The 22,204-nt window shown below is 40.6% G+C and overlaps 1 protein-coding gene across 11 annotated transcripts in view, besides 2 other annotated features; it reads left to right on the forward strand.

Moving 5' to 3' along the window:
• Nucleotides 1–22,204, forward strand: part of MYO3B (myosin IIIB) — a 477,021-nt gene that overhangs the window by 174,623 nt on the left and 280,194 nt on the right. For 10 of the 11 annotated variants that reach the window (NR_045682.2, NR_045683.2, NR_045684.2 and 7 more), the window contains one exon: nt 16,453–16,608. Coding sequence is in view for 6 of the 11 variants with exons in the window: in NM_138995.5 (NP_620482.3) it covers nt 16,453–16,608 (156 nt within the window). In the remaining 5 variants the exon portion in view is untranslated. Of the gene's footprint in view, nt 1–16,452; nt 16,609–18,803; nt 18,948–22,204 lie in introns of all 11 variants that reach the window. The other variant, XM_011510656.4, reaches the window with a different exon arrangement.
• Nucleotides 1,320–2,173: an enhancer, noted in NCBI's record as "NANOG-H3K4me1 hESC enhancer chr2:171210599-171211452 (GRCh37/hg19 assembly coordinates)". NCBI's record gives its function as "activates a minimal SCP1, AML or CMV promoter by ChIP-STARR-seq in naive H9 embryonic stem cells {active_cell/tissue: H9 hESC(naive)}" and the evidence as "EXISTENCE:reporter gene assay evidence [ECO:0000049][PMID:30033119]".
• Nucleotides 10,130–10,424: an enhancer, noted in NCBI's record as "tiled region #12446; K562 Activating DNase matched - State 5:Enh". NCBI's record gives its function as "activates a minimal TATA promoter and a strong SV40 promoter by Sharpr-MPRA in K562 cells {active_cell/tissue: K562}" and the evidence as "EXISTENCE:reporter gene assay evidence [ECO:0000049][PMID:27701403]".

Consider the following 22,204-nt stretch of genomic DNA (forward strand, 5'->3'; position numbering starts at 1 on the left):
TACTCGTTTGGGATAGACAGGATTTCCTCATAGTCTTCCTACTGCATATAACTTTTGACAATAAAATAAAAAGATTCAACAATGAGATACCACTACATACCTATTGGAATGACCAAAATCTGGAACACTGACAATACCAAATGCTGCCAAGGATGTGGAGCAAAAGGAACTCTCCTTCATTTTTGGTGGGAATGCAAATGGTATAGCCACTTTGGAAGACAGTTTGCTAATTTCTTACAAAAGTAAACATATGCTTACCGTAGGGTCTAGCAATCGCCCTTTTTAATATTTACCTAAAGGAATTGAAAACTTATATACACATAAAAATCTGCACATGAATGTTTATCACAGTTTTATTTACAAGTGCCAAAACTTGGAAATCACCAAGATGTCCTTCAGTAGGTGAATGGATGAGTAAACTCTGGTATATCCAGACAATGGAACATTATTCACTGCTAAAAAGAAATCAGCTATCAAGCCATGAAAAGACATGGAGGAATCTTAAATTCATGTTACCATGTGAAAGAAACCAATCTGAAGAGTCTATATACTGTAGGATTCCAATTACGTGACATTCTGGAAAAGGCAAAACCATGGAGACAGTATGGAGATCAGTAGTTGTCAGGAGTTGTGGGCAGGGAGGGAGGGGAAGAACAGGTGGAACCCACAGGATTTTTCGGGCAGTGAAAATACTCTGTATAATACTCTACGAATGGATTACATGTCATTATAAATTTGCCCAAACCTATAGAATGTACAACACTGAGAGTGAACTTTAATGTAAACCATGGACTCTGGGTAATTACGATGTGTCAGTATGAGTTCCTCAATTGTAACAAATGTACAGGTGGGGGATGTTGACAGTGGAGAGGCTGTGCGTGTAGGGGGGCCGGGGTATATGGGAAATCTCTGTACCTTTCTCTCAATTTTGCTGTGAACTTAAAACTGTTGTAAAAATAAAGTCTTTAATAAAATAAAACAAATTCTCTGCATGCTACTTTTCTAACTGAAATCATAAGGGAATTTATTATGAAAACAGGACTTGGTGGCATTCTCTTATTAGAGTATTCATCATATGGTTATGGAAGGCTAGTAATTTATGATCCTTGCTAGCAAAGCCAGATCAATAAAGAGATAAATGTCCTCAGCACAATAGAATTTATATCATCCACATGATAATTGACCACTGTGTCACACATTCAATCATTCATCGCATTATCTGATATAACTAGCAGGAAGGGTAATATGTCTATGATTTATTATTAATGCATACTAGTATGAAATTCGTGATCCATCTAACCTGTTACCTGTCCTTGGCAACATAGTATGTACAGTTGTCTACTTCCAGTAATAGGATCCCGCAGAAAGAATCAGACAACCCTGTTTAATGCTAGGCATTGCCTGTTGAATTGGAAGAGATCCAAGAAGTGCCTGAGCTAGTGTTACTCCCTCTCTTCTTTTCTCTTCTCTTCCCTTTCTCCTTGTCATCAGTTCTGGTTCCTTTTTTTTGTTCTGTTTTGTTTTTCTTTCCCCAGAGCACAGTGGCCTGTCTAGAGCAGAGATGGGTGGGTAAGTGGTCCTAAAAGATCCTTTGATGTCACTGATTTGCTGCTATGAGTATATTTTGTGACAGTCATTCTGTATCACCTATCTATGCATGTCAGTGAATTAACAGTGGCTTCAAGCTCAGGACACACCATAATACCAGGGCGGGGAAACAGCAGGTCCCCTGGGGAAACAGAATGGAGAAAATTAGAAAGGAAAACAGAAAGATAACCATTCAGAAACCCATGCATAGAGTTAGTTCCCTAACAATAGGAGTCAAAAGTATTCCAAACTGTCTCCCCCTCCCCCTTCTTTCCCAACCTCTTGGGAACATGTGTTGGTTGCCTGCAACGTCTGTGCTTTACTTTGCAAGGGTTAATTAGATGGCCTATTATTCAGCAAATTAAAGGCTTGGTTGCCTGAGTTCCTTTCAGAAAGGATTAGGGTCTCTGATGAGGCTTTGATGTAATAGATGGAGCTGTTCTGCTCCATCTTGTTAATGGAGGAGTTTTAAGGACTCCCCAGACTCTATTTGGCCGTCAGTGTCTTTATTCATTCCCTTTCCTAAAGAAGAAAAATATTTTATCTTGCAAAAATTCAGTGCTTGAACAAGGCACTGGATTGACATCCTGGGGGTGGGGTGGGGGGTGGAGGGTGAAGTGTTCATTTCTTGTCTAAAATCACACAGAAGCAGCACTTCCTGGCTTCCTTGGGTGGCCACTTCCTCTGCAAAAACCATCTCTCCAAAAAAGCAGCAGGAGCAGTAATTTAGGCCTTGTGGTTCATTGTCCTTTGAAGCTTTTTTGCTAAGAAGTTGGGCAGGAGAGATGACAGGTGACAGGCATGGTAGTGGTTTGTGTCCTCAGGAACATGAACCAAGACAGCCAATAACTGCAAAATCCTACCTTGCATAAAATGTGTGCACCTACATATTATCTGACAAGATTTTTTTCCAGACTTTTTAGTGTGGTTAAGTTGTTATGAAAATCTGGCTTAGTTCATTTTCTCCAATTTGATGTTCACATAATTGGCAGTCAGCCAGAGAAGTGTTTAGTCAATTTTAGTCTTTACCAAAAGAACAAACATTAAGGGAAGGGTACAAAATGTGGGTAGACACAATGCCAGTACGACTATTGCAGCTCTAGGTCATTATCCTGCCTCTTTATCTAATCTCCTAGCCCCACTGTGTATTATGGCCTGACATTTTAGCTGGAGTAATTATTGTCATCATTTAGGGAGCAAGTCAGCTGTCCTTTTGTTGCCAACTCCCACTTGTGTGATGCTCCAGTCTTATTCCTGCCCTTCCCCAACTCACATTGTTGGGATTGAATCGCTCCCTCCTTTGAGTTACTTTTGATTCATGGGCTCAACATTTTCAGCAATCTTCTTTTCATTCTTTGCAATGAATAGCACATGGTAGCTTGGCATCCACCTTTTCTTTCCTTAATCAATGCCAGCATCCAGACATTCAACGTGTCAGGAATCAAGGGGCCTGACCCTATAAAAATTCACCAAGTTGCTGATAGATTTAGCAATGGATTAAGACAGATGGCTCTTGTCTCTTTGTGTTGGCCACCCAGGGAGAATTTTTTTTACTAGATGATGTAAGGCATCAGTTTATTTATTTATTTATTATTTATTTATTTTTATTTTATTTTATTTTTTGAGATGGAGTCTCGCTGTGTCGCCCAGGTGGAGTGCAGTGGCGTGATCTCGGCTCACTGCAAGCTCTGCCTCCTGGGTTCACGCCATTCTCCTGCCTCAGCCTCCCAAGTAGCTGGGACTACAGGTGCCCGCCACCATGCCCGGCTGACTTTTTTGTATTTTTACTGGAGACGGGGTTTCACCGTGTTGGCCAGGATGGTCTCAATCTCCTGACCTCGTGATCCGCCCACCTCGGCCTCCCAAAGTGCTGGGATTACAGGCATGAGCCACCGCGCCTGGCCAACAGGCTTCGGTTTACATTGAAGAGTGTCATAAGAAACAGCCCTATTAAACCCATAGCTGCATTTACTAGAGAGTGATAATATTCATTACATAGCATGGAGGCATTTCTTTTCTTTTTGAGACAGATTTTCCCTCTTTTTGCCCAGCCTGGAGTACAACGGCATGATCTCGGCTCCCTGTAACCTCTGCTTCCTGGGTTCAAGCAGTTCTCCTGCCTCAGCCTCCTGAGTAGCTGGGATTACAGGCATCCATCACCACACCTGGCTAATTTTGTATTTTTAGTAGAGATGGGGTTTCACCATGTTGGCCAGGCTGGTCTCGAACTCCTGACCTCAGGTGATCCACCCACCTCAGCCTCCCAAAGTGCTGGGATTACAAGTGTGAGCCACCGCACCTGGCTGCATGGAGCCATTTCTATGAAAACCCTGGAAAGCTATATCTTTAGTCTTGTTACCTGTCATTACATCACAGTTCTCCAAATTGCTGGTCTGTTTTATTTATTTATTTTTATTTTTATCTTTAAAAAAATGTTTTAAGACAAGGTCTCACCCTGTGGCCCAGGCTGGAGTGCAGTGGTACAATCATGGCTCACTGCAGCCTCAACCTCCTGGGCTCAAGCAGTCCTCCCACCTCAGCCTCCCAAGTGGCTGGGACCATAGGTATGCACCACCACGGCCCCCTGATTTAAAAACAATATTTTTGGTAGAGACAGGGTCTCCCTGTGTGGCTCAGGCTTGTCTCTAACTCCTGGGCTCAAGCAATATTCCTGGCTCAGCCTCCCAAAGTGCTGGGATCACAGACAGGTGTGAGACACTGGGCCTGGCCTAGTCTGTTTTTATATCATGGATTTTAAGAAATATAGAACAGAATTCCTGTCTCTACTAAAAATACAAAAATTAGCTGGGCATTGTGGCAGTCACCTATAATCTCAGCTACTCAGGAAGCTGAGGCAGGAGAATCCCTTGAACCTGGGAGGCGGAGGTTGCAGTGAGCCAAGATCACGCCTTGCACTCCAGCCTGGGCAACAGAGAGAGACTCCATCTCAAAAAAAATAAAAATAAAAATAAATAATATATATTATATATATATATTTTATATATTATATATTTATATGTGTATTATATATTATATTTTATATATATGTATATAACTGACTACATTTTATCTTTCACATTGTCTGACAGAAAGCCCAGAGCCCCATTTGTGGACACCGCTAACAAAGTCTTTTATTTGGTATTCTAATTCCTATTAGATTCCAGGGTATCTTTCTTCCCTTATTTCCCCTTTGCTTCATTTTTCTGTTTGGTTTATAATTGTTTTTTATCTTTCCTTATCACATATACCTTTATTTATTTAAGCACCTATTGTTTTAAGGTGTCTTAAGTTATTTCTGGAACAAGATGGAATATTTTAAAATTTGCATACGTTGGTAGGAATATAAAATGATGCTATGATTTTGGAAAACAGTCTGGTAGTTCCTCAAGAAGACAAACATAAAGTTACCATAACCAGCAATCCAGGGGAAATGAAAACATGTGTCCACATAAAAGCTTGTACAGAAATGTTCGTAGTAGCAATAATTCATAATAGCTTAAAAGTAGAAACAACCAGCTGGGCGCAGTGGCTCACGCCTGTAATCCCAGCACTTTGGGAGGCCAAGGTGGGTGGATCACCTGAGGTCGGGAGTTCGAGACCAGGCTGACCAACATGGAGAAACTCCGTCTCTACTAAAAATACAAAAGTAGCCAGGTGCGGTGGGGAGCGCCTGTAATCCCAGCTACTCCGGAGGCTGAGGCAGGAGAATCACTTGAACCTGGGAGGCAGAGGTTGCGGTGAGCCGAGATCGCACCATTGCACTCCAGCCTGGGCAACGAGAGTGAAACTCCTTCTCAAAAAAAAAAACAAAAAAACAAAAGTAGAAACAACCTAAGTGTCTATCAACTGATAGACGGATCAACAAAATGTGGTATGTCCATATAATGAAACATTATTTAACAATAAAAATGAATGAAATATTAATATATGCTGTGATATGAATGAACCTTGAAAACATGCAAAATGAAAGAAGCTAGTCACAAAAGACCATACATATTATATGAAATGTCCAGATTAGACAAATCTACAGGGACAGAAAGTAGATTAGTGGTTGCCTGGGACTGAGGAGGTTGAGGGAGTATAGGGTGTGAATGCTAATGGATACGGGGTTTCTTTTTGGGGTGATGAAAATGTTCTGAAATTGATTGTGGTAATGGTTGCACAACTGTGTGAATATATTAAAAATAATTGAATTGTACATTTTTAATGGATGAACTGTATAGTATGTGAACTATATCTCATTAAACCTATTATAAGAATTATTAGCAATAATCAGTTGAAAATTTTATTGAGTAGTTTTTGCTGATTTTCTTGCATTTAAAATTTTTACTTAATGCCAGCTATGCACATTATAGTTGCAACCACTCATTTTGAGCAGAATCTACAGACTTGTTTGGGATTGTGGGTCTCCAAGAATAGGGACGGCCTTCTCCGTAGTAGGCAAATTCCCTCTATATTACTTAATTTATAAATTTGAGCTACTAGGCAAAGGCAGTAGTTGTTCAGGAGCAAGTTCTAAGCCTGTGCACATAAAAGCTATCAGTTCTATTTTCGCTTCTCCTTGTCTTTGCATACCCTATCTCCTCTGCCCTTGTCATCTTATTCCACCTGGTAATGAAAATAAATGAGCGAGAGTAGTCAGAAAAGTAAAAGAATAACTAAGAGATGTAGCATCACTACAGGCAATGAAACAGAATGTTTCAAGAAACCAGGGTAATGATGGTCATTAGTGACCTCTTGAACAGAGAGGTTGAATACAATGAGAACTAAAAAGGGAACACAGAATCGGCAACTTAAAGGCCTTTAGGGTCCTTTGAGAGAGATTTTAGTTGGGTAGTGAAGATAAAAGATTTTTATGTTCACAAACATTTAGCTACAGGCCCATCTATTAAATTTAAGTTTGCCTAAGATTCCATTGGTGACCTCTTCTCTTTTCTTTCAACACTCTTGACTTGTCTTCAAGTTCCAGGGCTACAATCATCATCTTTCCCTTTCTATTTCATTAATTCAGACTGTATTCTTCCTAAATGAATTCACTCCTTCCCTCTAATCTACTCTCTAATGTGGTGCCACTTTATTTTCTAAAGCAAATATCTAATTGTGTTATATCCTTGTTCATGAACCTCAGTTTAATGTGGCTAAGAAAGCCCAAACTTACCAGCAAGACCTTCTGGGTTCTGAAAAGATGTTCCAGCCAGACTCTCACCCCATCTCTATTATAACTGCATTGTTCTGTTCTACTCATATCCCTAGATGAGCCTTGCATTTTATACCAATGAACTTCCTCAAAAGGCTACTGTACCCTCCGCTTGGAATGCCTCTTGCCTGCATTTTCTGTCAATACCCCTTTTGTTCTTTAAGACCCAAGGATCATCTCTCATGTGAAACTCTTGCTCCTAGTTAGAATTATTTACTTCGTCTGCGCTATTCTAGTGCTTATACTTTTCAGCCTTAAATTATTATTATTTATGTCCATGTCTATTCTAATACTTCTTTCTAAATCCCATGAAAGCAAATGTCTCATTCCAGGCATTGTTTTCCCTAGGCATTTGCTGTGGCACCATTCACAGTAAATACCTAGTAAGTTTTTGAATGAATCAATGAAATCAATCTCATCTGATTCTCTAAATCTTTCATATGTGTAAGTTTGGTATTACCCCAGAAGCTGATAAGTTTCTTGTGGATGAATATAATGTCTTCTGTTTGATTTGCACTCTCTTAGCCCCAACCCCAGTTCTGGTATAGTCCTGAGCATGTAATGATCATGCACTGTGGAACAGATTGTTCATTTCTGTTAGAGGATGGCTGGGTACTCTCTATTCCTTCTCCTTGTAGGGAGAAGAATGCATACAAATGAGAATTGTGGATTTAATTCAGGGAAGGGTGGCAAGTAGGATCATGGGAAGAAATACAATTCATGTGTCCCTGGGCATTTAAGCCTGGACTAAGAAGCAGACCATGACTGTTTGTCAAAATGGAAATTGATTTTCGAATCAAAGAAATGAGCCAGACATTAAAAAAATTACCCAAAGGCATGAACTTGAAAATGCCAAAGCTCTTTGCTTTTGCTGAATTGCCAGACCCCAGAAATTCCCTTCCCCTCAGAACTTTGAAAGTTCTGATCAGGGCATCTACTATCAAACAGAAATTTGTCCTCAGTGGTAGGAATCAACTGAGAGAAAGTAGCTAACTAATGAGCACAGTATTATTAAAATCTAACTGAGGGAGCCATTGCACATTAACATTTCCTTGTTGCTGTGGTTTGAATGTGTCTCCTCCAAAATTCAGGTGCTGGCTTTGTGATAGTATTAAGAGGTGGGTTCTTTAAGAGGTCGTTAGGTCATGAGAGCCTCTCCGTGGTGAATGGGATTAAGGATTAAGTACTGGATAAACAGGCTTGAAGGAGAGGCAGTTAGTCTCTTCTTGCCTTTTGGCCTTCCACTGTGTGAAGACACAGCATTCCTCTCCTCTGAAGGAGCCATCTTGGAAGTAGAGAGCAGCCCTCACCAGACAACTGAACCTGCTGGAGGCTTGATCTTGGAATTCTCAGCCGTCAGAACTGTGAGAAAGTACATTTCTGTTCTTTATAAATTACCCAGTCTTAGGTCATCTGATAGAGCAGTGCAAAATGGAGTAAGACACTTATGTAGCACTCATACTGCTAATTATCAATAGGTGTACCACAGCTATCTTCCTCCAATGGACTGACTGACTGTATACCCAGCAACTAGTACAGTGTCTGGCCCAGGGAGCTGACATTTATCAATTGTTCGCTATATACCAAATACTAGACATGAATTAACTCATTTATTCCCCACAATAACCTTTCTAACCATTTAAGGTGTGATCTCCCAGGGACCACACCTTCTCCAGCCCTTTGAACTAAAGGGTGGCATTTGAACATAGACTAACAATCTGATAAGCTAGTTGCTGGGGCTGTGTTTATCTGTGCCCTGACTGTGTCACATGGGTGGAGTTGCCTGGAGAAATATCTGGTTAATTGCAAGGTGCTTTTTATAAAAACTCAACCAAAGAAAAAAGAAAGCCAGGAGGAGGGAGAAGGTGATGACTTGGGGCCACCAGTTAACAATCCTTAAGACTGCCTTAATTCTCGGACACAAAATTGACATCTTCTTGGCTGCCACTGTGTCCAGCAGAGGGCAACCTTATCCCCATTCTTTGTCAAATGCCGTAGGACAGTTTGAAAGCGTAGCTTAAACATAAGAAGGAGGTGCCAAGAACAAGAATAAAACAGCCAACTCGGTCAGTATGCCTTCAGTGACTTTTTCTTGGAGATACCTCTCTTTACCTTGAATCTGTGCCCCATCTTGACCTGCTACTTGGCTCTGGCCTGGTTCACTTGGCCCTTCTAACTTCATGTCATTTGTTTAGCACTTTTACATCTCTCTCTCTTTTTCCTCCTCCCAGACTGATTCTGCCTTTTGTCTATAGTATAGTCTCCTTTCCTCTGTTCCTCCTCACTGTGGCTCTCCACTTGTCCCCAGACAAGCAGGGCTTGAGGATCTAGAATTTTTGTTACCACATCTCCTTCCCTAAGAACATAGTCAGTTAGTCTGGGCTTTTCAAACTATTTCATATTGACCAAGGGCTTAGAGATAGAGGGTAAAGAGGTTCCTGGTTGACAGGTTTCACTGAGGCTGCAACCCTGGGGCATTACAGGGTTACATATTGCAGCTCTCTGCCTTACTGGGGGTCTCTGATCCTGGGCCTTGTTTTTGCATAGGGACTTTCTCCAGCCACACTGGTGCACACGTCTTAACTCTAGAGGTAGATTCTGTCCCATTTGCTCAGAGATGTGATATTTTGGCTTCAAACCACCACCCTATATGTTTTCTTTTGTCACCTTCTTTACTTTCTTTGAGTCTTCTCTGGGTGAGAAAAGTAGATGTTCTTTATCCCCAAGTTTCCTGCCCAGTGTCAGGCTTCAGGAAATGCAATGTTCTTCCCTTTCCATTTCCGTCCTACCTTCACTTGAGCTTACTGTGGACCTTTGGTGCTGACAGCTTTGTCTAAAGATCAGGCTCACTTGTTTATCTTTCCAACCTTGCCCCAGGATCTCTGGCAAGATGGCAGCTGCCCTGTCGTCCAGTAGCCATGTGGTCTCTTGCTTTTTACACAGACTCTATTCCCGTTACTCATTTCAAAGGGAGACTCAGCTTCCTGTTCAAAAGCTCTCCATCCTACCTTCTTGGGGATTTTTGTCTTTTAGCAAATACTGACTATTCTCCTCTGATTGATAACCATAGACCTGCCTAACTGAGTAATGCACTCCCAGTTCTCATTTACCTGTTTCAGGGGAGGACCCCACTTCCCCACCCCAAATGTGAAGTTAGCATGCAATTTCAGTTCTCACCAGTGAGACTTTGCAACAGCATCAAATGTGATATTCAGACTTCAGGAAAACTGAAATGCAGTTAAATATTCCACCAAACAGGGGGGTGATGTTTCACAGAAATACCATACACAGCATCAAGTTTCTCATTCTGCCTTCTTTTGAGGCATTAGTCATTTTGAGAAAATGCCTGTTTGTCATAGTCTTGTCTTGCAGAATGGAAATTTTCTTCCAAGGCAGAATACTGTGTGCTCTGATATTTAACCTATAATTAGTGTATCCTCTGGAGGATTTTCTCCCCTTGATTTAGAGGCCTCTTTGTCAGTCAGCCTTCTGTTTGACGATGATAGCAACCACAGGGCAGCACAGTGAATCACACGGCAGGGAAATGCTTGCTCAGATCCAAAATGTTTAGATCTTCTGTAGCAATGGGAACACATAACAATTCAAGTAGCAGGCCTGCAAGAAAATAGCAGGAAGTATAAAAGACAGAATATTTATAAAGAAATGAGAAGAGTCATAAATCCTGAGTTTTGATCTAGTTTTGCCCCAATGTATGGAATACATTGCTCACCCTCATGCTTTTCTTACCCAGTTTACTAGTATTTTTAGTTTTTGCCTTTTCAGCTGCTCTATATCAAGTGTTTTATTCATTGGTAAACAACAGTCAGAGGCTCTTGACAAATAGCTCCCCCTTGCAGGCATCCGGTTTTTTGGTTATGAAATGGCAGTTTACAGGCACAGAGTAGCTGTGTCACGACAGCATTATTGTCTTGGAGCAGAGAGTGCACAGACACCACCAGCTTGAGAGCCCGACCTTGTTTCTTGCTAAGAAATGTCCCGTTTTTGCCTGTTTTTGGCAGAAGCCAGACTGGGAGATTGCTGCAAATGGCTGCAACAACCTGTGTTTAATGTGGTGACACTAATAGATTCTGAGAATTAATCTTCAGCCAAGAAAGCATGATGGAAGGTACTAGAATTTCAAATTAGATAGTGGATTGATTTCCTTCAAGGCTGAAATTTGCTTCCTTTATCTTCTGGTGGACTTTTCTATCATATTCAAAACCACCCATCATGGCCTTATTTCCAGAGTCTCTTGCATATATCTCATGGTATAAATAAATTGTTATTCTGTTGTTTTGTCTGTTAGCACAGAGAAAGCATATCTAAATCCTAATTTTTTAAAAAAGATTAAAAAATCCAGGAATGAATGAAAGAAAGAATTACTTATGATTTGGGGAAAAGTAGTGTATCTAAATCTAGTCCTTGCTACTTGTTTTCTAGAATAAAGGACTCTGGAAAGAACTGAGCTCAGGAAAATATCTCCCCAGGTTGAAACACTGTCTTTTGCAGAAACAATAGCCCTCCAGAGTGTCTGAGATGTGGCAATTATTAAGAGTTCTTACAGTGTCCCCTCAGTCCACTGAGTTGAGGACTCTGGTGTCCATTCTAAAATCATGCGACTAATTGCTTACAACAGAACTTCCAAGGATATCATTTGTGGGGCCCAAACAAACAAACAAAAAGGTCTCTGTGGCTAAGTAAGCTTGGAAACGTGGGCTCAAATAGAATTAAACTTTTTTTTAACCCTAGCTCTTGTAAGAACCTTTAATAGGCTTGTGTGCATTACAAAACTCCAAACTTACTTGGTTTAGAGAATCACCAATGTTTTCCAAACTCTTTTGACTAGGAAACTAGCTTCTTTTTTTGATGGAATGCTTTATGTGTCTAGTGCTTCCCCTAATTCACCTCATGTTGGCTGGCCCCCAATCCCATACAGAGTTTAACATTTTATGCATCCTTTTGTAAAAACTGCTCAGTCCCTGGCTGGGGGAAGATAGTCTTCTTTTGGAATTTGCAATTCCTGGTTTAATAAGCAATACCTGAAATGAATACGTTTCTTAGAACTCCTTTAGTTCTACTTGTTTGTTCTCCAAATCAGGTTAAAGGATTCTATCTTGCTTTATAAAAGGACATGGAGGCTATCAGGAGTTTTAGGAATCCCAGCTGTCAGTTTCATCTTCATCCACTAAATCTCTGCTGACCAGGGATAGAAATGACAAGCCGACAAACTTAAACAGTAAGAATTCTGGGCACCAAACTACAAAGTCTTAAGCAACAACAATTATACCTTAGTTAAAGTTGGTAAAGGGACTAAAGGCAGTAACTGTTGTTAGGCATTCAAAAGAAGCAGCTTAGGAGGTGAAGGTCAGTGTTCTGGTGGCCTCCTGACTTACTGGCTTTGCAGCTTGTCTAGTCTGCTTCTTGCATTGCCGGTCTGGCTCCCCAGTATGACTTCTGCCTTTACTCCCCCAGTTTAGTTCAATTTAGTTCCAAAACTTCCCCCAAGACTTACCTAGCTCAATTCTTACCAGCTCCAGGAAGTCTTCCCTGACTACAGTTCTTCCCTCTGGCCGCGAAGTATTGTTTCGTACGTTGTACCTTTGTCATTTTTAACAACACGGAACAAAGCAGGAAGGGTCCTCCTGTGGGAGTTGAGGAATTGACCTCATCATTGCCAGGACTTGATCCCATTTCCTCACCTCTTAAAAGAGGGGCTAGAATCGAAAATCTCAGTCCCTGTGGCTCTGAAACCCTATGCTTTTGTGCTATTATTTCTTATCCTAAAGATAGAAGCAAACATATGGCTTTTGCTGTTTCTTGTGCTTCTCTTGTCCTTCTGTCTTTCCAATTAGATTGTAGATCCTTGAGGAAAAGGGTCATAGCTTTTAATTAATTTATGTATTGTGGCTAGTTCTAGTGCTGAGTAATAAATGTTTGCTGAGTAAACGATATGATGCTATGCCCTCATATCCAGTAACGCAGGACTTTCTATCTGCTCTTAAGGCATAACTTTCCTCTATTTATCTGTAAAATAATAGTTCCATTTCAGACTGGCTCTTTGCTCCCCATGAGAAAAAAATATAGAGAGGAGTATTTTAGAATAAAGCTATACCTTCAAGTTCTTCATGCCCTTTCCCTAAAAATCCTCCAATGCAGTTGGAGAGTCACAACTCTGCTTAGCCTTCTTCCTCTTTACACTCAGGTTCAGTTGTGCTGATCCTGTGGTATGATGGTATATGGTAGACACACCCGACAGCAATAATTTAACTTGAGCATACCCTGAGGATGATCCTGTATGGCAGTTGCACCTGAATATGTGTTTGGAGTTCAGAGCGTGCCCAACCCAGAGATAAATTCCTTGTCTGTGAGGAACATCTGAGCTCTGGGCCCTTCCTGTGGAACATCAGCATACAGGGGAGTGAGGCTCTTTGTTTTGCGTTAAATGAAGGTTGCCAGGTGGAGGTTGTTAGGAGGAGGGAGTGAAGTGAAAATGCTATATAAACTGCATGCTTTTTGCATGCAGTGGTGGTTCTTCTGTCCAGCACATGGCTACTGCATCATCCCTGTATGTAAGTTTCTCCTAATAAAACCCTATATCTCATTTGTTGGCTCTGGGTCTCTCCTTCAGCCTCTTGAACTTGGTGCCATCCCTACTGAAGTTAATAGGGGTTTATCACGCAGACATTCAACCCACTTCAGTCTTTCTTTCTTACTTGGAGAACTAAGAAAGCACTTTTTTTTGTTTGTTTTTTGTTTTTGTTTTTTTGAGACAGGGTCTCACTCTGTTGCCAGACTGGAGTGTAGTGGTGGGATCATAGCTCACTGCAATCTCAAACTCCTGGGCTCAAGTGATCCTCCTGCCTCAGCCTCCCAAGTAGCTGGGACTACAGGTGTGCTCTGCTAATTTTTAAATTATTTTTAGTAGAGATGAGGTCTCACTATGTTGCTCAGGCTTCTCTTGAACTCCTGGGCTCAAGAAATCCTCCTATCTGGGCTCCCAAAGTGTTGGGATTATGGGCATGAGCCACCACGCCTGGCCAACAGATCTTCTTGATCATTGCTTCCAGAAAGTAGAATGCCTACTATCTTCATTTTTTGGATCTTCAAGAAATAACAGATTTACTCGTTAGTTTCTTCTTTGTCTAATTCTCTGACTTCATTATTCATTCATTTCTTTTATTCCTCCATAATCTAGAGAGGGACCCTCTCTAACATATCAAATGATCTTGCGACCGTGTTGGAAGCCTTGCTTCTCCAGTGGATGCTAACATTGTGAAACAAGCTATACCACCTTTAATTGTGGTCCCTAGACTCCAGTGGAGGCATCTTTTCATAAGGCTGGATGGAGTATGGGTTTCCTAGTCTTTCTCAATCCCTGTTCAAGGAGCTTTACTTACTGAAGTACCCAAAGGACCTTGTTTTCAGGCCTCACCTGGAACACTGCCCTGAGGTACCTATATTAAGGAGGAAGGTAGAGAGGCAGCTCCAGCTCACTTTCCCCTTCACATGCTATGAATTTTTTGTGAATTGCCTCCTTCCACCTTCAGTCTCTGCCCCTGTGTTTACTAATTTGAAGTGTTGCCACTAGTCAACAGGCTATTGAGGGACCCCTGGTCCTTTTGTTCATTCTTTCTTTTCAATGAGCATTTCCTGGTAGTCAGATGACGCTTCAACAATTAACACAGGAAGAAAGCCAAAACAAAAATGTGGGGAGGGTGACGGATGGGTGGGATGAATATTATGTGAGGAAACAAGAAATTTCTCTCCCCATGTTTGGGAAATACTTCAATACTGATATGCCTATTTGGTGATGAGAAACAGACATAATGTGACTTATTAAGAAATCAGTAAGCAGGCTTAGCTTCAGATCCAGCAGTTCCTGGACTCCCATCCTACCCGTTCCCTCTGAGGTTCCTGGGGGTGTGCACAACTACCGGGTGCATCTTCAGTAGGAACTCTCAGAGGACATAGGGGCTATGTTTATCTTAGGAGTTTTTATACACTATTCCTAATGCTAGGAGGACTGGGCCATACACCTATGTTACTGACAGTATAACTACCTCTTGGGTTCCCTCTTTTTTCAGGAAACATGGTTATTAGCATTTTTGCATAATATCTAAGCATATTAACTTTGATAGTTACATATAGAGATGAATATACAAGGAATCAAGGGAAGATTGCTGATGTAAAGACATGAACACAGTCTTCTTAAAGCATATGCACTGATTTTTTATTTTTCACAGAAAAATAATAGATTATACAAAAAGCCCTGAACCTATAAAAGTCAAATGATGTATTTCTTCCCATGGCAAGGCAGAGGTGGTATTTATAGTCCTGCAAGCAGCTGAATGGAGATAATTTAGGTTCCGTTGGCTTTTCTGGCTGAAAGCTCCAGTTCCAATAGATAGGGAATCCCCTGAATCAATTATAAAATGGAGTAACTGGGAGATTTACCGAATATCTTTTCAGGACTAGAAGGTAAGGGATATGAAAGTGTTTTGAACTGAAAACTGCAGAAACCAAAGCTTTTTTGTAAATTTAACTTTTGAGGATTGTTTCAAGAACTCTGCTTAAGTGTTTTGAAAAGATGTTCAAGGTGAGGCTGAAGTTTTTTAACATTTGTCAGTGAATTTCATTAAAAATACGTTGTATGTTAGATGCTGCTGGCATTCCACTGTTGAGAAAACTAAAGACGTTTATTTCATGGATTGGGCAGAATGGCATCCATTTATCCTAAGCCTCCAATGTGGGCTTAAGGACAAGTGGCTTAAAAGGGTAGATGTTAAAATTTCTTCCTCTCGCCAAGGGCAGGTACGCAGAATAGAAATGTGATGGCAGTTGGAGGGATATTCGTCAGATTCAATTTCACTAGAAATTTCCCTGTATCCAAATCATCTTGAATAACACAGAAGGTGCAGCAAAATGTACTGAATCATTGCTTTGAAAAGGATTTTGAATCTAAAACAGAAAGTAGTTATGCCGGTATGATTTTAACCAATTAACCACAGAAGAGTTTAAATGCAACCCAATTTTTATCATTTCGAATGGACTTTTTGTTCCCTGTTTGTATAATTCTATTCCAATTCATCTGAATTATATTGTACTCACTTCCTGTTCTGTGGTTTTTCTGGTTCTTCAGAAGACATTAGAAATCAAGCGCCAGCGTTTCTGTGAAGGTTTCTTTATGATTAGTTTTTTTCCTTTTAACACCTAGATGCCTTTTCCCTGCCGGTAAACAAGGGGCATTTCATATATTAGGATTTAATTGAGGTGATAGTATTTAATTCTACGTATTTCTAAAAGAAAGTATACATACAAATCAACTTGACTCCACTGAAAATATTTTTCTCTAATGAAAATGCGGATAGAAAATTGAGCAGTCTATATTTTTAGTGTTTTGAGTACTTCAAGTTGATGGTACAAATTGTGTTTTCAACTTTGCTTAAAACAAACGAAGACAGATTTCTGATGTTTTAATTAATTCAACTAATAGAGAATTACTATTTTTCTGTTTTCTGGTACATATTAATTAAAGAGAGAGCTGTGTATCATTAACCAATGATCAGGTTTTATAAATGAGCTTTTACCTTCTCTCCATCTCCCATATTCATAGGGGAACAGGGTGTCTAAGATTGTACTTTGGATTGTTTGTTGGTTTTTGCAAACAGGTGTCTTATTAAGGATTTTGAAAGGCGACCTTCCGTCACACATCTCCTTGACCACCCATTTATTAAAGGAGTACATGGAAAAGTTCTGTTTCTGCAAAAACAGCTGGCCAAGGTTCTCCAAGACCAGAAGCATCAAAATCCTGTTGCTAAAACCAGGTACTGTACTCTCTTTCTTCTTTCTCCCTGTGGTTGTTTATAAAAATGTCATGTCATGTGTTTTGATTTGCCCAGCATTATTACTGGTAGTTATTACATTCCTGCATTTTTAAGAGTTTTATTTACATGACATTAAGTACTCCATGCCCAGTGGATGAGAGCAGGAGAACTTCAGAAACAAACTGCCCATTTGTGCTCTTATGGCCAATTTCTCTCAAGTGGCTGAAATCTTACTCTGCCCTGGTGTTCAGTTAGCTTTAGTTAAAAAATCAACAAATATATATATTTACATTTAACAGAAATTTGGATTTTTTTTTTTTTTTTTTACCAATAGAGGTAACCGTATGAAAGCAACCATGGCTGACATTGTGTGAAACACCTTTACTTGGCCATTGTAGACTGAAGAGCAGTAATGCAGGCTGTAAAGTGATTTTGGAAAGATTATGAGCTAAACACCGAAGGCTGTTTCTCTAATGTGCTCTGAGACCATTTTCTCTTTAGTTTCAAACTCTTTAGAGTCGATTTGGTATTTTTAAGTAACATTTTTCAGGTATTTCTTATGCTATCTAAAGCAACTGTGATTCCTACCCTACCTCATCCTCTTTTTTTTTAGAAGGTAGATTTTTATACAAATGTTTATTTTCAGGGGCAAGTGCTTTAAACAGTATTCCCTGGTAAATCTCTAAGAAATAGATCTTCAATTTCTGTCCAGAGGGTGGCAGAATTTCTCTTTAAAAAAAATTAAATGCAAATAAACCTGCTTCCTATGCTCAGCAATTATTTGGTTTTATGAAACCATCCAGGATGTAGATAAGCTCCAGTCCATTATTATTAAAAGAACATTGGAAGTACTGGAGGTGAAGAAAATAAAATATCATAAGTTACAAGTTCTGGAAATATTCATGTATTCTGCAGAAAACTGTTTACTAATCAAAAAGCCAAACATTGGCATCCAAACTCTTGGAGCTGGAGGCGTAGTATCAAGGTGACTATATTTTGCTGATTTTTCTCCACCAGGTTCCCTTTTGGATAGCTCAGAGGGGATTTTTTTTCCTACTTGTTTCCTTTTTCCACTGCCTTTTCTGTTTCTATGGCCTCCCTACAGAGTAGAGAAATGCAGAGAAATTCTTGTGACTTGGGGTCTTTTTGAAGCAGCAGGAACTTGTGTTTAAGCCCCAGGGAGCTGAAATCTCTTTTCTTCCTTGTTTTGGTTCCTATACACCAGCCACCACCCCTACCACCCACCTACACACACACACACACACACACACACACACACACACACACACACACACACAGCACCACCACCACCAAAAATGAAGACGAAGTAAAAGAAAATACAAACCAAGCAAAAAACAAACCCAACATCTAAAGGGTATGAGTCAAATCCAGCATCTCCTCCTTGTCTCCCTGTTCTAGGATTTGCCATGGAATGATTTCTAAGACTTCATTTGCCAAGCTATCTGGATTTTCATATTTGCCTGACTTTGCCTGTCCAGATCTATGCTCTCTCTCTCTCTCTCTTTTTTTTTCTTTTTTTTTCAAAAAGAAAAAGAACAGGCCAGGTGCGGTGGCTCACGCCTGTAATCCCAGCACTTTGGGAGGCCGAGGTGGATGAATCACAAGGTCAGGAGTTTGAGAACAGCCTGGCCAACATGGTGACACCCTGTCTCTACTAAAAATACAGAAAATTAGCTGGGCATAGTGGCAGGCACCTGTAATCCCAGCTGCTCGGGAGGCTGAGGCAGGAGAATTGCTTAAACCTGGGAGGCGGAAGTTGCAGTGAGCTGAGATCGCGCCACTGCACTCCAGCCTGGGCGACAGAGCAAGACAGTGTCTAAAAAAAAAAAAAAAAAAAAAAAACCAAAACCTTTCTTCTTTTACCATAGAAAATTGTAACACCAGCCTCTCTCATCCCCTTTCTCTAATTTCTCTTTATCTTTGTTAACTCCTTTGATGTCAGAAGCCTCATGTGGTGGCAAAGGCTTCTCACAGGGTCTTTGTAATCTTGAGTTTCACTCAGTGGTTTGTGTTTCTTTGAACTATCATTAAAAAAAAATACAACCTCACAAATAGGTATCAACACTTTAAACAGACACTTCCTTAGGATGTGGGAAAATTAATTCCAAAGGAAACACAGTGCACGTAATTGACACTTAACCTGCCACCTCTCTTGTACTATTACTTCCTCTTAGCAACTGGCAAGGAGCTGGCTACATAGATGTTTTTCAGCCCACCAGGAAAAACTCTCAAATATCATTCCATGCTGATAAATCAATATATTTAAAGCTGTGGTTTTTCAAGTTAAAGCAGAAAAAAAAAAAAACAGAAAAATTGAGGTGAGTATATAGATGATTGAGGCCTAATTACCCGCTCATCATTTTTCTGCACAGTTATGGCCACCCGGCAGGCAGTGCAATGTGGTGATTAAAACCACTGGCTTGGCAGGGTGTGGTGGCTCACACGTGTAATCCCAGCACGTTGGGAGGCTGAGATAGGAGGATCACTTGAGCCCAGGAGTTTGAGACCAGGCTGGTCACTATAGCAAGACCTCATCTCTACTAAAAAAATTAAATAAATAATAAAAAATAAAAGAAAAATTAGCCGTGCATGGTGGCACATGCCTGTAGTCCCCGGAGGCTGACATGGCAGGATCACTTGAGCCCAGGAGTTTGAGGCTGCAGCAAACTGTGATTGCACCACTGCATTCCAGCCTGGGCAACAGAGTGAGACCCTGTCTCAAAAAAAAAAAAAAAAAAAAAAAAAAACAACAACAACAAAGAAAAAAATCTATTGCTCTGCCAGGTTTGGATCTCAGGCCAGCCACTAACTGGATAAGTTTTTAATCTTTCTCTTCCAAAGTTTCTTCTATAAAACGGGGGTTATTTTGAGGGTTAAGTGAGTCAATACATGTAAAATGCTTAGAATAATGCAACCTCCATAAATGTTAGTAGTAGAAGTAGTGTACAAGGTCTATTTAATTCTGAGTCTTTCATTTCTTTTTAACACTAACTACCTCTTGCCCATAATCTGTGCAAATTCATCTTTTTACTTACTGTACAAGATCATGAAAATAAACACTACTGAGGTACTGAATGTTTAAAATATCCCATTTTATCTCTTATTCAATATCTAATTTATTCATTCAAGAGGCATTTATACATGTGTATGTGTCAGGCCCTATGCTGAACAGAGGGACTACAAAGGCAAATCAGATGCAGTTCCTGATAAAGAGCTAATAGTCTGGTGTGTGATAGAGACAAGAATCAGGTGAGAACAGTTCAAAATGAAAAGTACCTAGATAAAGGAATGCCTGGGATACCTCTCAGAGCACCTGGTAAAGACACCTAAGTCAGTCTGGGGTTGGGATGGTAGGGGAAGATGCCCTGGAGCTGCTGGGTAGATGATCCTTGAACTGCCCTGAAGAACAAATCAAAGATAGTCAAGGAAAGGGGGTTATTCGGGGTAGAGGGGAAAGAAAGAGCAATGAGCAAAGGGCAAGGCACAAGGGCTAGAGAGAGCTTGGGGAATCTGGTGAACAATTAGTTGACATGGCTGGAGCTTGGCATGGGGTAGGTGGGAGGGAGAGACAAGGTAGACAGGAGCCACGTCACCATGGGCCTAAGGAGCTTGAATTTGTTTCTTAGGTGCTAGGGAGCCATTGAAGAGTTCCAGAAAGTTGTTCTGATTGCAGTATGGAGAATGAAGCAGGGTAAGGCTGCAGCCAGGGAACTAGTGAGCAGATCATAGTAATTACAAATGGCAGAAGATATTAAAATAATGATATTGTCAGGACTTAGTGATGGATTGATTGAGGGAGATTAGGGAAACAGAGAAGTGTGTTGGGGCCTACCCAAACTGGGCTGCCTCCCTGGCCTGGTTCACAATGCAATCATGTAGAAATTGCAAGACACGTCTTCATAGTCTATCAAATGCAATGCCAAGTACTTCCAGATATTACACAAAGCTTCCAGCTTTCTGCCCAAAAGAGAGTTCTTCAATGGTCTAGGCAGTCCTGGGCCCTCCAGCTGTAGCAACTCTTTTTGGATTTGAGAGCTGATACAGAGTAATGAAACCTATAATCTACAGGGAAAACTTTCTTACCATTCCTGCAAAGGTAAGGAACGTTCAGTCCACTTTAGTACTTTTCCCAGGGGAGAGAGAAGTTGGTAGTTTGAGCAGGATGCAGGGAAGAATGCAAGTTCTTAAAGGATGGGGGAACACTTGGACAGGTAAAGGGGAAGGATATATATAGAGAGGGAGACAACGAAGACAGAAGAGAGAGGAAGCAATGGAGGAAGCAAGAGGGAGTGGGTCAGGGGCCTAAAAGGGAGGTTGACTTTAGAAAGAGAGAAACTCTAAGTTGGGAAAGACACAGAAAGGTTAGATAAAAGTACTCAGAAAACTTAGGAGAGGAGGCATTGTGAGGAAATTCATGTTGAATGGCCTTTAAAAAAAAAAAAAAAACTTAGCAAGGTTTCAGAGTTGGGAGTGGATTGTGGACTCCAGGGAATCGTTAAATCTTTGAGATATTCACTATGAGGAATATGATAAAGGGTCAGTTAAAGATCGACATCATGATTGCTTAATAGCATAGAAAACCCAGGTAGAATGCAACTGAATAGCATCCTATTGTAGTGAAGTTAATCAGTGTCTAAGATAATGCATGTAGAGCATTCAGGACACTTGGCACTAGAAACTCTCAGAAAATGCACCATCACCACTGCCGCCTTTCTCATCTGTCATCTCAATTAACTCTTAGCAGCAAGGAGTTAGGAGTAGAGAAAGCAGACATTATGGTCTTCTTCAGGCTAGAGACTGACTTCAGTGGACATGATGAGTGGGCAAGGAAGCAAGGGAATCGAGGTTAGTAGAAGAGTGGCCTTGGGATCTTTGTGGGTAGGGAAGAAAGTGACACCAGACTGGCTTATTGACTTTGAGGCTGATCTAGTCCTGGGACTGGCTATTACAACAAAGATGAAGAGCAGATTCAGTGAGGGGATGATGAGAAAAGGGATTGTAGAACTGAGATCCTAGGAACTTTTGATAGATAATTAGGAACTAAGGATAGCTGAGCTTGTGGGCAACTTCGGTGGAATAGAAAGAAATGTTTTTTAAGTGTTGACAGGTTGAGGAACTCTTAGATCAGATCCATCTCAGTTATGGCACATATTCAAGAGTATTCAAAAACAAGGCTAAGAATCATGGAGGGCTTGTTCACATAGAGCAGAAGCTGTACTGTGCTTGGAGGGCTTGAATTTGTAAGTCCCCTGTCTCACCTCTCCTGGGTCTAACCATTCAGGCTTTTCTGAGTGCTTTTTGGAAAGCCAGGATGTGATTCATCCCTATTTCACTCTCTCTATATATATATATGCATACATACACACACACACACACACACACACACACACACACACACACACTACAGATATAGATACAGGACAGCAGAGGCACCTGTGGAGAAGTGATATTGTACTATTTGAGATTTGATAGATACCATTACCTGATGCTGATTATAGTGTATGTATGACATCATTGGAATTTAAGTTTTTCCAGTAAATTATAATTGTGCCAATGCATGTATTTGATTCAGGTA

Source organism: Homo sapiens, chromosome 2, assembly GCF_000001405.40.
Source record: "Homo sapiens chromosome 2, GRCh38.p14 Primary Assembly".
In the NCBI taxonomy this organism is placed as follows: domain Eukaryota; kingdom Metazoa; phylum Chordata; class Mammalia; order Primates; family Hominidae; genus Homo; species Homo sapiens.